At 55.3% G+C, this 15394-nt stretch overlaps 1 protein-coding gene across 6 annotated transcripts in view, besides 1 other annotated feature; it reads right to left on the reverse strand.

Moving 5' to 3' along the window:
- Positions 1–2195: 2195 nt before the first annotated feature.
- PREX1 (phosphatidylinositol-3,4,5-trisphosphate dependent Rac exchange factor 1) overlaps positions 2196–15394 on the reverse strand; it is a 263934-nt gene continuing 250735 nt past the window's right edge. For all 6 annotated transcript variants that reach the window (XM_047440333.1, NM_020820.4, XM_047440332.1 and 3 more), the window contains 9 exons: positions 14407–14627; positions 12620–12719; positions 10440–10583; positions 10221–10335; positions 8672–8738; positions 7393–7565; positions 5805–5907; positions 5492–5559; positions 2196–3871 (listed from right to left, as the gene is read on the reverse strand). In XM_047440333.1, coding sequence (XP_047296289.1) covers positions 3829–3871; positions 5492–5559; positions 5805–5907; positions 7393–7565; positions 8672–8738; positions 10221–10335; positions 10440–10583; positions 12620–12719; positions 14407–14627 — 1034 coding nt within the window. In that variant the 3' untranslated portion in view covers positions 2196–3828. The remainder of the gene's footprint in view (positions 3872–5491; positions 5560–5804; positions 5908–7392; positions 7566–8671; positions 8739–10220; positions 10336–10439; positions 10584–12619; positions 12720–14406; positions 14628–15394) is intronic.
- Positions 13982–14121: an enhancer, noted in NCBI's record as "active region_18024". NCBI's record gives its function as "activates an Ori minimal core promoter by ATAC-STARR-seq in GM12878 lymphoblastoid cells {active_cell/tissue: GM12878}" and the evidence as "EXISTENCE:reporter gene assay evidence [ECO:0000049][PMID:35858748]".

The raw sequence follows: 15394 nt of genomic DNA on the forward strand, positions 1-15394 counted from the left end.
TAGCCAGGTGGGAATGTGGACCAGTGTGACCAGAGCTTCTGATTTTTTCTTTAATCTTTTTTTTAAGAGGCAGGACCACACTACGTTGCCCAGGCTGGAGTGCAGTTGGCTATTCACAGGTGTGATCAAAGCGCACGACAGCCTTGAACTCCTGGTCTCAAGCAATCCTCCCACCTTTGCCTCCAAGTAGCTGGGACCACAGGTGCGCACCACCACACCCAGCTCAGAGCTTCTGATTTTCGAGACAAACTAAAAATCAGAATTCAGAGATGAAATTTGCTGGTTCATAAATATAATTCATTTTTTTAAAACACCATATCAGGAAGGAAGTAAAAAAAAAAACCCACATTTAGTTCCAAGTTTCAGCCTGGAGCCATCAGTTTGAGACCTCTTGTCTCCTGCAAAAATGTCCGCTTGCTCTGAGAGGCCCTTCGTGCTTAGTTTTATACTTGGAGAAACACATCTCGGAGAGGGAGGTGGGCCCGGCTCTCCCTCCCAACTCTGCAAGCACAGCTCTGAGCCTGTAAAGTATGCAACTTGCTCAAGGCCACAGAGAGCCGGCTGGAAACCCAAGCTGCTCCTGCCTACGGCCCCAGGAGAATGTATGTTCCTTCTGCGGGCCCCCAGGGTGGAGGAGAGGCTGAAATCGATGCTTTCTAGAAACGTGTCTGCCTGAAGGAAGACGTCCAATCCTCCCTGTTGACCTCAAATATAGATTGAGGTAACAGGTCTTCCCTCGAAGTGATTTTCCCTGGATCCAAACACTGGCCTCAGATAATTCTAAATAATCAATCCATGACTGTGCCTGAAACCCCACCAGGATTCCCTCTTGCCTGTTAGAGTATTGAGTCCTTTGAAACCTGTAACTGAGAGACGCGAGGATCTCTCTCTGGGAGGGATCCAATCTGGGCCTTCAGAGAATGTAATCTGCAACAGGTTAGTTTGGAAGGAAAAGAGACTGAAAGAGAAGGGGCTCGAGTGTGAAATGGCAGGGCTGGGTGCAGCACCATGGTACAGGGGAGTCCCAAGGGTGGCCATGACCCAGAGGAAACTGTCATCGATTTCAGCATTTTCCAAAGGATTGGAAATCGGGAAAAGATGGAATAAAGAAGAGGCCATACGCAACATACCGAAACCCGGTCTCTATAAAAATTTTTAAAAATTAGCCAGGCATGGTGGTGTGTGCCTGTAGTCCAGGCTACTTGGTAGGCAGCATACTGAAACCTGGTCTCCACAAAAAATTTAACAAATTAGCCAGGCGTGGTGGCACGTGCCTGTAGTTGCAGTTACTTGGGATGCTGAGGTGGGAGGATAAATTGAGCCCAGGAGGTCGAAGCTTAAGTGAGTCATGATCGCGCCACTGCACTCTACCCTGGGTGATAAGAGCAAAAGACCCTGTCTCAAAAAAAAAAAAAAAGGACGAGGGGGCACAGGGCTGGCACAGCAGAACAGGTCTGCAGCCCAGGGAATGAGGTTTCTCTGACTATGCAAACAAACCCAGGCAGCTTCATAAAGATCACCTGGGCCCAGGCAGGTGGAGAACCTGCTGACAGCCTAGGATGCAGCCACCAGGCCCAGGTGTGCACGCAGACTCTCTATTCTCATTGGTGCATTTCACGTCTGCCCAATAGGCCTGTTTGTGGCCAGCGTAAGTTCTGGCTGACTGGGGGTCCGGCACGACCATGTTGTGGGTATTTTGAACTCCACTCCCGCCTGGATCCAACAGGCCTTGCAGGTTGGAGCGAGGAGGATTCTATGGCACCCCTTGGATCCACACTGTCCCCTCAGCACAAGTAAGCCACCCAGGAGGAGGTGTGGAATTCCTGGGAAAACAGTCACTTTTTCCTACCTTCACAGTGAAATGGGAGCTCAGAATCCAGGGGGGAAAAAAGCTGAAATATCAAATAAGGCCTGTTATTTTCCTGTATACCTGGGTTGCAGGCAATCCGTGCAACCTCGGGTCGTCCTCAGCAATCACCCCGCGAGAGAAGCTGCATCGCCCCATTATCAAGGAGGAAACTGAGGCACAGAGTGAAAACATCACTGACTTCGGGGTCGCTGGTTCAAGGCCCCGATGCAGAGATCAGCACTGTCCTCCATGAGGCTTTTAAAGCGCGAGCTCATCCCCTAGTGCCCCCGGCCGCACCCACCCCCCAAGCCACCCACCGCAGATGAAGCAGATCACAGCCTCGTTCTTTGTATTATAAACTGACTTTTAATAATAATAAAAAATCTATCAAGAATTTAACGAGAAGAATCTGTACATTTTAAAGTAAACCAGTGCACAATGCGCTGGCCCTGGGCCCTCCCCCATTTCCCGCAGCAGGGCTAAAGCGGGTCCTCCTTTGTCTCTGATGCAAGATACAGTGACAAGGCCACTGCCTGCCCTCGTGTATGCTGCGGCAAGAGAGGGAAGCGCACCCTGGAGGGCGGGAGGCTCGGATGCCAGATGCCGGGAGGGCTTCAAGCTCCCAGGCCTGGGGGCAGCAGGGAGCCCCCACCTGAACTCACCACCTGCCAGGGGTGACAGGCGTCCCCCCGCTTCCTCCCCAGCTGTGACCTTTCCCTGAAGGCATACCGAAGCTGGGGGGACAAACTGCCGAGGGGGCTTGTGTGGGTCCCTCCTCCCCAGCAGGCAGGGTGGCTTCCTGTGCTCTGGCTGGTGATGTCCCAATCGCCCTGCTCTGAGAAGTTACCATCAAGAAAATAAATCACAGAAGCCACCGCCCGGTGTTTCCCAGTGACCCTCTAACCCGTGTGACACGGCACCTCAGGTGGGGCTCCATCCCCTCCAGCTCCAACCCTGGCTGGCCACCTCTCAGGCCCTTGTAGCCAGTCACTCAAAGAGAGCGAGTTCTAACACCGGCCAACCGCTGGAGAATGGAGGGTGGGGGAAGGAATCACAGTCGATACCTCAAAACGACACCTTACAACCCTAATATTAACAAACAGGAAACAATGACATTTTTTAATTTTTCAATAATTTAGTTTTTCTTTTGTGCTCTTTTTTTTTTAGTAGAAGCAGGAACAGTTGTCAATACTACCTTCTGTTGGTCCCCTGTTAGACAACATACCTTTCTTTGAAATGTAAAATGTCAAATATATAATCACACAACTTTAGAAAAAACAAACTTTGACAACACCAACAACAAAAAATCCCAAAATAAACCAGAGATTTCATGCCATATAAATAAAGTCAGAGCAAATCTCGTGCCCAGGGCTGGTGGCCCCAGTTCCAGGGGCGGTGATGTCCAGAGCTGGTGTGGCTCTCGGGGATCCTCTGGTAACAGGCGTGATGGAGGCCCCGTCTCTCCTTTCCCGACAGAGCCAAGTCTTTTCCAAGTCCACCAAGCAGGTTAGTACAGGGTTAGGGTGAACCTGGAAGCTAAGATGAGGAGGAGGAGACACGTGTGGTCACCTGGAATGTGGACGTTGAAGGAAACCGGGGTTTCAAAAGTGCAGGCGGAGCCATCCCGAGGGAGCCGGGTGGCCCCATGTGGCCTCCATGACGTTCCCTTGGGTTCTGGGGACGCAGGAGCCGAAGGCCAGGCACCAGCTGCTCCCATCAGCTCTATGGGTCTCCAGCACCCCTCCAGCTTCTGGCAGGCGTGTGAAGAATGGGCCGGCCCAGGGCCAATCAGCCAGCTCGTCATCACAGCGAGGGTGGCCAGGCTTGTCCCGGAAGGAGGCAGGGAGGACGCTGGGCAGGTCCCGGAACGGGCGGCTGCGGAAGCCTTGGGCCATCCCTGGAGAAGGCCAGCGCTGCCTGCTGTGTCCTCCCAAATCCCAGCTCCAGAGGCCGCGGCCCAGCGTGGGGCATTTGGGTGTTCAGAGGTCCCCATCCACCGGCGGCTGGCAGAGGCGGTAGAGGCTGGGGATGGAGGCAAAGAGAATGAGGAGAGGCCGGGGCGGGCCAGGACCTATTTGTATTATTTCCATTTTTACCTGAACATGTAATTCATGCCCAGAAACCCAAACTCACAGGTATATAAAAGATGCAGAGAAAAATATCTATGCTGTCCATGCCTTCTGCTGACTGCCAGGCCCCTACCCACAGGCAGTCTCTGCCCACTCAGAGACTGGCATTTACAAATGAAGACGTGTCTACAGGTGCACGTGTGCGTTCAGCCATGTGGGGGTGGGGTGCACATTCCACACTAGTGGGGGCCAGATGGCCACAGCACTCTGCCCCTTACGCAGTTTCACTTGCTCTATCCTGGGAAACTCTATATGCAGAGATGGTTTTGGAGCCGGGGGACCAGACAGGAGGCTGCGTGGTGTCCAGGGCAAGCAGACTGCAATGCTGCACATGTGGTCTGATGTGGTCAGCGCTCGGACTCCACGCCCAGACTGCCTGGGTTCAGAATCCCAGCTTTTCCATTTACTAGCTGTGTGACATTGGACAAGATACTTAACCTCTCTGTGCCTTAGCGTCCCCACCTGCCAAGTGGGGATGACAGCCGGACTTGGCTCACAGGGCAGCTGTTTGGATTAATGAGTCCACAGAGGGGAAGCAATTGGACAGTGCGTGGCACAGGGCAAAGGCCGTGAAGGTATTGAAAGGAACCACGTGCCACTCGTGAGACACAAACAAGGTGTGTGTGGAGCCCCCAGCGCCACAGCACGCACAGTGACTCTCGTCACCACTGGCAGCAGGTGTTGCCGGCGCTCTGTGGTTACGTAAGACGTTGCCGCTGGCGGGGAGCTGCCTGAAGGGTCCATGGAACTGTGGACTATTTTTACAACTTCTTGGGAGTCACATTATTTCAAAACAAGAGTTATTTAAAACTTGTGGGCAGATGACGACAGCAAACTAGGGCTGTGGAGATGGAGAGAGGATCAGACGGAAACAACGTCATGATCCTAAAGGGCCTACATGTGGCACCAAGAGGAAGACTGAAAACCACATGAAGAGAGGGCAGGGTGGGAGGACAGGAGGAAACAGCACTCCCCATGCCAAAGACGGCAGGAACAGAGAGCATTCCTGCAAATCAGGCATCGCAGGCCTGGGCCCAGGCTGCTGTTCAGTTCGCATTTCTGTAAATGGCTAAAAGGTTAGCTTAGGTTGGATCAGCTAAAATCACAGAATTCTTAATTCCACCCCAGGTTAAAGCGAGCCGCTCAGGGGTCAGGGACTCAGGGTAGGGGGCACGGGGTGGGGGGCACATGGCATGGGACACAGGGTGGAGGGCACGGGGCGGGGGCTCAGGGCTGAGAGGGCATGGGGCTGAGGGCACAGTGTAGTGAGGTGGGAGGATCTCATAGAGTCACCGCCTCACGGCACACCTGGGGGCTCATCTTCCCGGTGGGAGCAGGAGCTCCTTTGGGAGGTGACAAAGTTGTGTCTGTTGCTCCTCAAAGAGGTTCCCCATAAATGAGAGGGGAAGCCCCATCTGAGCATTAGGGGTTAGGCCAGGAGCATGATGCCAAAGCCAGGCCTGGGTCGCCAGCTGGGAGTGGACAGGAAGGGGCGGACGAGGCAGCCACTCACCGCGGAGCACCCTGGGGCATCTGGTCCTTGACTCGCAGGTTTTTGGCCAGAATCTCCACCCTTGGGCCCTGGAAGAAGGAACCATCAGGCAGGGGCCTCTGCAGGTTCAGGGCACGTGAGGAAGCACACTGGGGGGTGGGGGTGGGGCCCAGAAGCCCAAGGACCCAGAAGCTAAGATCCTTGCTCCCCTCCAGATTCAGAGAAGGCTCAGGTCTGGGGCTGGTGGCTACCAGCCCCTCATCCCACCCTGGCTGCAAGCATGCCACGCCCTCAGCCCAGGGTGCTGGAGGACCCTGTGGCCAAGCGGCCTCACCTGCTTCCGCATGATGTCCGTGGCCTGCATGATGCACTTGGGCAGCAACCCGTGGCTCCGTGCCAAGATGGCCGCCTGCTCCAGGGACACGCTCAGGGTGCTCCTGCAGCAGGGGAGGGAGGACAGCGGGTTGGCGGTGGGGGGACAGGGGTCGGGGGAGGACAGCGGGAGTCAGAGGACAGTGGGTGAGAGCTGGGGCAACTTCCTGTCCCTCCGAGGCCTCCCAGACCCAATCCTGACCATCACGGCAACGCCTCCTCCTGCCGTCCCTCCCCGCTTGCTCCTCTTCCTCCAGGCAGCCACCACCCTCACTGGCAGGCACTCTGGTGCTTCCCCGTCTGCAGAAGCCCTGTTGAGTTCCCTGTGACATTCCCAGTGCCTCGCTCAGAGGAGGACTCGGTAAATATCTGCTGAGTGAGTGGGGGACTCCCTGGGAGCCTCACGACTTGTCGGCTCCGTGGGGTTTGAGATGGACACATCGATTCACACCTCTCTGGGTTTCTCAACAGTTCTAGAACGTGGATTCTGCAGCAAGACCTCTAGGATTCCAATCCTGTCCCTCCATGTAACTCCTCTGTGACCCTGGGTAGCTGAGTTAACCTCAGCCTCCCTATACTATTAACTATGAAACAGGGAGCATGGTGGTGCACAGAGGACCTGGCCCAGCTGGAGGGGCTGTCCTGGGAACCACAGGAAGCTGAGCAGCATCCCGGCCTCTACCCACTAAAGGCCAGGAGCTCCTCCCTCCCCTAAGTTGTGACAACCAAAAATGTGTCCAGACATTGCCAAATGTTCCCCGGGGATAAAACTGCCCCTAGGTGAGATCCCCTAAAATAGGCCCCACTACTGCACTGGTAGAGAAAGACGGAAAGGAGTTAATCTGCATGGAACGTCAATGACCTAGGAGGCAGAGAGCACTGGCCCCGTGAAACATTTATTCAGCAAATGTTTCTTGAGCACCTGTCTCAGGCCAGGCACTGCTCTAGCCTCTGGGGAACAGCAGAGAACAAAAGGGGCCCCTGCCCTCCCAGATCCAGCCCTGCCCTGAGGGAGCCAAGGAGGAAATAAATACCCCAATGAAGGCTGTCTGGGGAGTGGGGGTGAGGGCTGCAGAGGAAGAGAGGGTTGGGAGGGCACTGAGTGGGGAGAGTGGGCACAGTTTGTAACGGAAGGTCAGGAAGCACTCTGGAGAAGGTGACCTCTTCCTCCCTGGGATGAGCACTGGGGACAAAGGATGGAGGTAGGAGGCAGGGGAGCCTCCAGTGAGGTCAGCAGGCCCCATAAACCAGCCATTGCTATTGTTAATGTTGAAGGAGGCTTCCGGCGGAACTACAGGGCACAGCTCTCACACACACTCACTACGGCGTTAGAGAAGCAGGTGGCTCCACAGCCCTGCTAGGACCACCTGCTGCTGCCATTCCGTTTCACAGACAGACAAACTGAGGTGCAGACAGAGCCAAGGCTCTACAGGCAATGGCAGAACCAGGATTGGAACCCAGCCTTCCTGCCTCCTTGCCACAGGACCCCAAACTGACCAGAAGCTAGGCCAGCCCCTCCCCACACCCCGACTCAGCGGGCAGCAGCTCACCTCTGCATGCCTGTGCCACACATGACCATCTGGCAGGCCCCCAGGCGGTAGCAGAGCTCCGAGGAGATGGGGATGAGGCCGGCGCCCACACTCCCAGCAGCACCAGGCTTTGGGTGGACAAAGGACTTCATGAGGCGGCAGAGCTCATCCAGGGCATTGATGGGGCGGATCAGCTGTAGGGGGTACCACACATAACCGGGGAGTTGGAGGAGGTCCTCACAGCCCCTCAGCCCCCATCTGGCCCTCCTCCCCCACCATATCCTTCTAATCCAGCTGTTCCTGCAGCTGCCTCCCAGCTCACCCCTCTGGGGATAACAATGCAATTCAATCTTCTATAACCTCTGCTCAAGAACCCTCTGTGGCTCCCCACTGCCCTACAAGCTGGCAGTCAGTGTTGACCATATATTTCAGGTCTAACCTTCCAACCTAATTCTCTTCACCTGCCCAGGTGTGTCCCCAGTGAAGCCTGAAGAAAGTGCCCTCTCCCAGCCTGTCAAGACCAACACAAGCGCCCCCTCTCCAGAAAAAGCCTTCCCTTCTGCCCCCAGCATTCCCTGACCCCCACGTGGAGGTGCAAGGGGTGGTTCACTAACGAGCTGTGCTGCGGGGACATTCTGCCAGCCAGAGTGGAAAGTCCCAAACGGCTGTGCCCACCCTCCTCCCGGAGCCCCCAGCTCACAGCCCCAAGACAGCACCCCAAAATCATCAGCACATTCAAGGCCTGCCTGACCCTAGAAAACCAGGAGGCCAAAAGACATGTGTTGAGGGTCAGAGGCAAGGAGCCCAAGGAGCCGAACTATCGAGGCCCCTCAGAGGGAGCTGCTCCCAGCTCGGAGCAACGGGGACATGTGGCAACATGGTCCCCAACAGCCAGATCTTCCCATTCCTCCAGAAAAGCTGGAAGCCTCTGTTTTTATGGGAAATCTTTTGATTTCTAAAGGTTGACAGCAAATTTGAAACACATAAACAAAAAGAATACCATACAGGTTACATCTGTCATGAGGTCCAGGCTCCAGCCTCAGAGAAATGCTGTGGTTAATAAGGCGGATTGGAGTGGCAGAGATGGGCGGCTGCCAGCGAAAATAAATCATCCCAGGAAGTTGGGAATGGGGAGGAAGCTATCATGGGAGACTTCCTGGAGGAGGAGAGACTGCAGGGTCTCAAGGGCTTTGGGGCTAGAATCTGCTGGGGCACAACCCTGGGCCTGTCTGCTGAGTCCTGACTCCTGAGCGCCCCACCCTGCCCAAGCTCCCTGCAGCAGGAGGGCACGTGGACATACCTGGTCTATCTTTACCGCCGTGGTGCTGGCATCCGTGGGCAGGTTAGACCGCTCCAGGTAAAATGCCCTGCGAGAGAAAGATGGGAATGAGGCGGGGGCCACCACACCCACCATCCTCCTGCCCCTACCCAGGTCTCAACTCCTGCAGCCACCGTGACTCCGCCCTCTGCCGACTCTCAGAATGAAATCCCTGAGAGCGCCTGCAGGCTGTGCTCACCCGCAGGCACCTGTTCCTACAACAGCCGGGGGGGAAAGAGGGGCCTCCTGAGCACTCCTCCAATGCCACCCCTCCCTGCCTGCCCGTCCACAGCAGCCCCCAGCCCTCTGCTCCCCAGGCCCTGGTCCTGCTTTTTCTCTCTTCTGAGCACTTCTCACCACTTGGCATCTCATGGCTCTGGGCTTACTGGTTTACTGTTCGTCTCCCCCTCCAGAACAGGGGTCAGCGAACTTCTTCTGTGAAGAGCCCAACGGTAAACATTTTATGCTTTGTGCACTGGAAAGTCTCGATCGCGGCCACTCAGCTCTGCCATTGCAGCACAAAAGCAGCCACAGAGGATGTGAAAATGAGTGAATGCAGGTGTGCTAATAAAACTTTATTTACAAAACAGGGAGACAAGGAGGGCCAGATTTTGACAACCCCTGCTCTAGAATATATGCTCCATGAAGAACAGGACTTTGTTTTGCTCACTGCACATTCCCAAACAAGCACCCGGAACAGTGCCCGGCCCGCAGAAGGCCTCAACATGTGTGAATGAAGGGATGAATGAATCATCACACAGGCAGGACTCAGAGTATTCCACAGATGGCGCAGAACAGACTGATGACAGCCCTGATCAATCCAAACAGATGCCAGTTTTCAGTAACTGGGCTGGATGCTTTCTCTGAGCAAACGAATGAAGCCTCATTCTCTCATTTCCAAATGATGAAGCCCAGACCCGTACTCATCTCCCTGGGGTCTTAATTCTCGGCCTGCCTCTGTCACAGAGGGAGGTGGTGAGACACACGCAGGAAGGGCTGTGGGGGAGGGTGGTAGGAGTGGGAGCTGCAGAACTTAGAAGCTGCCTCCCAGAACCTGTGGTTCCTCCTGGTGATACCTGGCTCCTGCTCTCACCCCTCCTCCCCTGGGGTTCTCTTCTGAGCAGCCAAGACCCTGGGAGCCGCACCCCTCACTCACAGGCCCAAGAGTCCCAAGGTCCCCTGTCCTAGCTCCCACCCTCTGTAGAATGAAGCCGGCTCCTCTCAGTAGGAAAGACCCACTTTGAAACCAAACAGACCCCAGTTCAAAGCTCAGCCACTGCCTGGCTGTGTGACCTTGGGCAAGTGTGTACACTTTCTGGGCCTCAGTCGCCTCCTCTGTAAAGTGGGATCCATGGCCTGCTGCCATTGAGAATCTCACGCAGGCAAGAGTGCTGTCACACAGAAGGTGCTCAAGAAAGGGTGTGCGGCCCACTGCCCATGCTGGGGGTCCGCCTGGCACCTTCCATGCTAATGCCCACTCCACGTGGAGGTTTCCTGACTCCTGCCCCCAACGGGGACCCCAGGCGGATACCTGAGTTTGCGGTAATACTGCTGAACTTTCTCCAGGGACTGCGCGTTGATGTCCTGCTGCAAATCCTCCGCGGCCTGGCTGCCTGGAGAAGGCAGCCCCTCCACGTTCTCCAGCACTGGGAGGGGAGATGTCGGGGGCGGGCAGGCGGTTGGGAGCCGGTGTGCTTGGTGGCCTTGGCCCGGCCCCCGTGGTCCTCCCTGCCCCAGGCCTGAAGCTCACCTTTCGTGAACAGCGCTGTGTGCAGCCTCAGGCTGGCCCCACCCTCCAGGCGGGAGGGCAGCTTGGAGAAGTGGTAGCTGTCGAGGTAGAAGATGACCTTCAGCGCCTGCCGGCTGCCCTCAATGTGGTAGAAGACGTTGGTGTCTGCGGAAGGATATGGGGCAGGATGACTCACCACCGAGGCCAAGGCCAGGGGAAGCCCTGGCACACCTCTCCAGAACAGCTGGCACCTCCCTGCCCCCAGGTCCAGGGGGGCACCCTGGGACCTCCCTGTTCTCCCGACTCTACAGGGGTAGCCTCAGACCTCCCTGCCCTCCTGCCCTCTAGGGACAGCCTCCAGCAGCCCTTCCCTCTCACTCTCCGAAGAACTGCAGCTGACACCTCCCTTTCGCCTGCTTCATCAGCTCCTAGTTCCGCTGCTTAATTCTTGAACCTGATGCGGACTCTGCCTACTTAGGGGGTCCACAGCATTTGGGGTCAGAGCTTCCCCAGCGCTCCTTGTACCCTCACCCGGTAGCCCATGGCCCCTGCCTGGGAAAAGCTGCCCTCAAACAGGGTATACATCTGATTCATAGCCAGAAGGAAGCGCTTAGGGCAGGGGGTGCAAAATATGGCACCCAGACCCCATCCTGCACCCATGGCAGACATCACTCATCGATCAAAGCTCTGCCCGAGCCAATCTCAGCCTGGAGACAGGCAGCTGCTGCTGCCTATCAATTCCAATTGCTACTCAAAGAGAACCTGCCCTTCATCTAGACTCTAGTCCATGCATTTTCAGCAGGAGAGACACTGTCCCCAAGGAGGTGAAAACTGGCTCGTGGGAAGGAGAATGAAAACACTTTCCTCTTTTAATGTATAATAAGCACAGATGCACAGATAAACAGACACAGGGTATACCCGTAGTAGTATAATTTCATGGGGGTGCAGCAATTAGGAAAAATTGACTAAAAAGGTTTTTTATGAAATTAAATAAAATCTAATGAAATGAAAAAACTGAGAAACACTAATCCAGTGCCTGGTTCCTAATTAAACCCACATGCCTCAGAAGCCCCTGGAGGGCTTTCAGCATACAGGCCTCTGGACTCCACCTCCAGAGTTTCTGAGGCCGTAGTTCTGGCTGGGCCGGAGAATATGCCTTTCTATCAAGCCCCCAGGTGCTGCTGGTCCAGGGGCCACGCTCTGAGAACCCCTGCTTTCAGAAGCAAGCCCAGAAGTTCCCAGCCCTGGCTGCACATCCAGACTACCCAGCACCCAGACCCCACCCCACAAACCGATCAGAATCGCTAGGGCCCAGGGCCCTGGGATCGTTGCAAAGTTCCCTCAATGATTCCAGAGTGCAAGCAGGGCTGAGACGCACTGGTCTAGACTATGAGCTCCAGGAGGGTAGGAATGAGGACCATGTTACATGGCCCAAAACGCAGCCTGACATATACTATGTGCTCAAAATTATGGACATGTAAATAGATGGATGGATGGACGGATGGATGATGGTTGGATGGATGGATGGATGGATGGACAGATGTTTGGATGGATCGATGGATGAATGGATGCATGGATGGATGGATGAGTGGGATGGATGGATGGATGGACGGATGGATGGATGGATGCATGGATGCCTGGATGGATGGATGCATGGACACATGGGTGGGTGGATGGATGGATGGATGGATGGATGGATGCATGGATGGATGGATGGATGGATGGATAAATAAATGGGTGGGCAGGTGGAAGGATGGGTGGAAAATAGACACAGAGAGAAAGACAGAAAGAAAAAGGGAGAAAGGGGAGAAAGCGTGGAGGAAGGAGAGGTGAGGACACGAGCAAGGGAGGAAGGGAGGATGGAACTTAATTATGGTACTTATTTAAGCCCTTTAAAAATCTTAAGTTTTCACATCTCTAGGGAATAATTTTATTAAGAATTGGGTACCAGTGTCATTCTCTTTTAAGAGCTGTTGGAAATAGCCGGGTTCATACAAAAAGAAACCCCTCTTTTTCCATGTGTGCCCCAAAGTTCGGCTCTCACACTCATGTTGGAGGCATGAGGTTTGACAGCACTGAGTACTGAGCCCACCTTGGGCAGCTGGCCCAGAGGCAGGGGAAGGACAGGGTGACCCCAGAGAGCTGTCCCTTCCACCCCAGGACCCCACCTCTCACAGTGGGGGATGGGAGAAATCACTCACTGGCCACATAGTTCTCGTCCAGCTGCTTAAAGGAGAAGGTGACATTGTCCAGCTCTGACAGCGTCACCCAGATGTCCTCCAGCATGGTCCGTTCCTCCTTCTGCAGGAAGAAGACAGCGCGGAGGAGTCTCAGATGCCAACCCTGCCCCAGGGTTTCCTATCAAGATGCTGAATTCAACTCTAGTCGGCACTCCACACTGTGGGCCCCCTGGGTGCCAGGTCCTGAGCGTGACTCTCCAGAGTGGATGTGAAATCATGGTGTGCTCTGTGGCTTGTCCTGCACTTTCAAGGGTCATAGAACCCATCTCTGCCTTAATTCACTGAGTGATCCTAGTAAAGTCACTGCCTCTCTTGCCTGGATCACCAACCAGGCTTCTAACTTAACCTTTTTGAGCCTAACACACTCAAATAAAAGTCCCCAATTCCTTCCTCAACCTCCCCCAGTCGGTCCCATGTCAGCAAATAGCACCAGCGTTCATTCGGTCATCCAAGATCCAAACCTTTGACTTCTCAGTTTCTCTCCCGCTCACCCTGGGCCTGGTCCATCACCAAGTCTGATGGGGTGACACTAAAACATCCTCCAGACCCACCCATCTCCCTCCAGCTTCCTGGCCACCACCCAGGTTCAAGGGTCCACCATCTCTTGTCAAGATGACACCAGGTTTCCCTTCTGCCACTCTCTGCCCCCAAACAATACATCCTACAAGTCATGTTTTGAAAACTTAACCCAAATTATATCACTCACCCAGCTCCAAGCCTCTGAACCCTCCACTGCTTCCAGATTAAAGTCTCAGGCCCTACAGAACTGGTCCCCACATCTCCCTAGCCCCTGCCGCTCCCCTCTGGTCACACCAGCCACTCTTCGGGGCCTTTGTACATGCTGGTCCCTCTACCCCGCACACTCTTCCTCACACTGTCTGCCTGGCTGGCTGAGGTCTCAGCTCAAGCGTCACCACCTCACACAGGCTGTCTCTGACAGAGAAGCTGCAGTGCCCGCCAAGCTTCCTGTAGAGATTGCCTTCTCCCCACCTTCCTTCCCTCCTCTGTCCTTTCTTCTTCTCAAGCTGCTTCCCCCAACTAGGAAGTCAGCTTCAGGCCCCCAGCTCCCAGCTCAGGGCCTGGCACATCGTGGTGTTTGGAGAATGAAGGAACTTGGCCCAGCATCCCCATGTGAGAAGAGGAAGGGGAGGGCTGAGTGTTCCCTGCTTCCTCCCTGGGCCCCAGGTTGTGCATTCTGAGAATCAAGTGATGGCCAATCTGTGCCAGGCAGGCGTCTTGTGCAGCAGCAGCCAGCAGAGGGCGCTCCAAGGCCAGGCCTCCCCACCAGCCAGCAGCAGGGGCTCCAGGAGCCAACCTCAGAGGCACTGGTGACTCTCAGGTCCTGGCCGGATGTCCAGCAGCATCCCTGGCTTCCACCACCCCACTCCCACCTCAGGCCCTCAGTTGTCACAACCAAAAACATCTCCAGACATTACCAAGTGTCCCCTAGTGGGGAAACTGCCCTGGGCTGAGAGCCGCTGGTCTGTAGCATGGATTCTGTTATCTGTGTGTGTGTGCCTCCCTCCCTCCCACTGGGACAGAAGATCCCTGGGTACAGGGACTCTGTTTTGTTCACTGCTGGACCTTCAGTGCCTATAAAACAGCACACAGGTGCTCAACAAATAGCTGCTGCGGGAATGACGAGGCCAGGGGGAGCCTGAGTAAGTGGGCAAGGGCTCCCTCGACCCGGCCTGGGCGGGCACCAGTGGGTGGGCCAGCGGGGCCGCCCTCCCGCCCCACTCACTCACCACTGTGGCTGGCGAGAGCAGGGACTGGCAGTGCAGCAGGACGCCCGTGGCCGCCACCTGCTCCAGCCACTTGCGGCTGGCGTCGCGGCTGCTCTCCTCGTACTCGCCATTGTTGTTGTAGCGGTAGCCCAGGGCCGCCAGCAGCTGCTTGGAGAAGGTGCACACGGCGGCCACCAGGGCCTGGCAGAAGATCGCGTCTCTGCGCAGCTGCAGCTCCGTGTCTGGGGGCAGAGGGCAGGAGGCCTTGCTGGAGGGGCGCTCCCGTGCCACCAGGAGGCCCACCCCCCAAAACCCTGGGTCCAGGACCCCTCATGGAACCCCCAGCAAAGGGCTAACATCAGGCCAGAAATTACTTTTTGGTGGACATCCCAGCCACCAAAAGCCAATTCCACAAAAATCAATTCTACGAAAAGCAAGCCCATTTGCCAAAACTGTTCTCTCAGTGACTCATCTGCCTGCTTTGAAAACCAAACAAACAAACAAACATCTTGTGATTTTCCTAAGGGTTTCCCAAGACCCTCACCCTCAGCCATTTCTCCTCTCATTATGGGATTCCTTGGCCTTGGCCAGTAGAATGCCAATGGTGCTAAGCTCTTCTGCCAAGCTGCACATGTTCAGAAATGCAGTTTAGCATTTTCTCTATTTTGGAGAACTATGCTTTCTTCCTTCCCCCACCTCTGCCCTTGCCCCTGTCCTTGACCTTGGCATGGTCTGAAGAACTGGCCAGTTTCAAGCAATTGGTCTCTCAGGGTCCCAATCTTCTGGAAGGAATTATTTCCAATGGCCGGCTTCTGGCCAGTGAGTTTTTTAGTGACCAAATTTGACCCAGATCCTGCAGTAGCACCCCCTTGGCTAATTTCTAGAAAGAAGGCAGGGATAGAGAAGGTCTCCAAGATTCTCCCGCTACCTCCTCCCCCTTCCTCTTCCCCACTCTCTGCTGGGTGGAAGCCCCCAGGCTGGGGCTGAAGGCTCTACCGGCACAAGGCCC

This window comes from Homo sapiens, chromosome 20, assembly GCF_000001405.40.
Source record: "Homo sapiens chromosome 20, GRCh38.p14 Primary Assembly".
Taxonomy (NCBI): domain Eukaryota; kingdom Metazoa; phylum Chordata; class Mammalia; order Primates; family Hominidae; genus Homo; species Homo sapiens.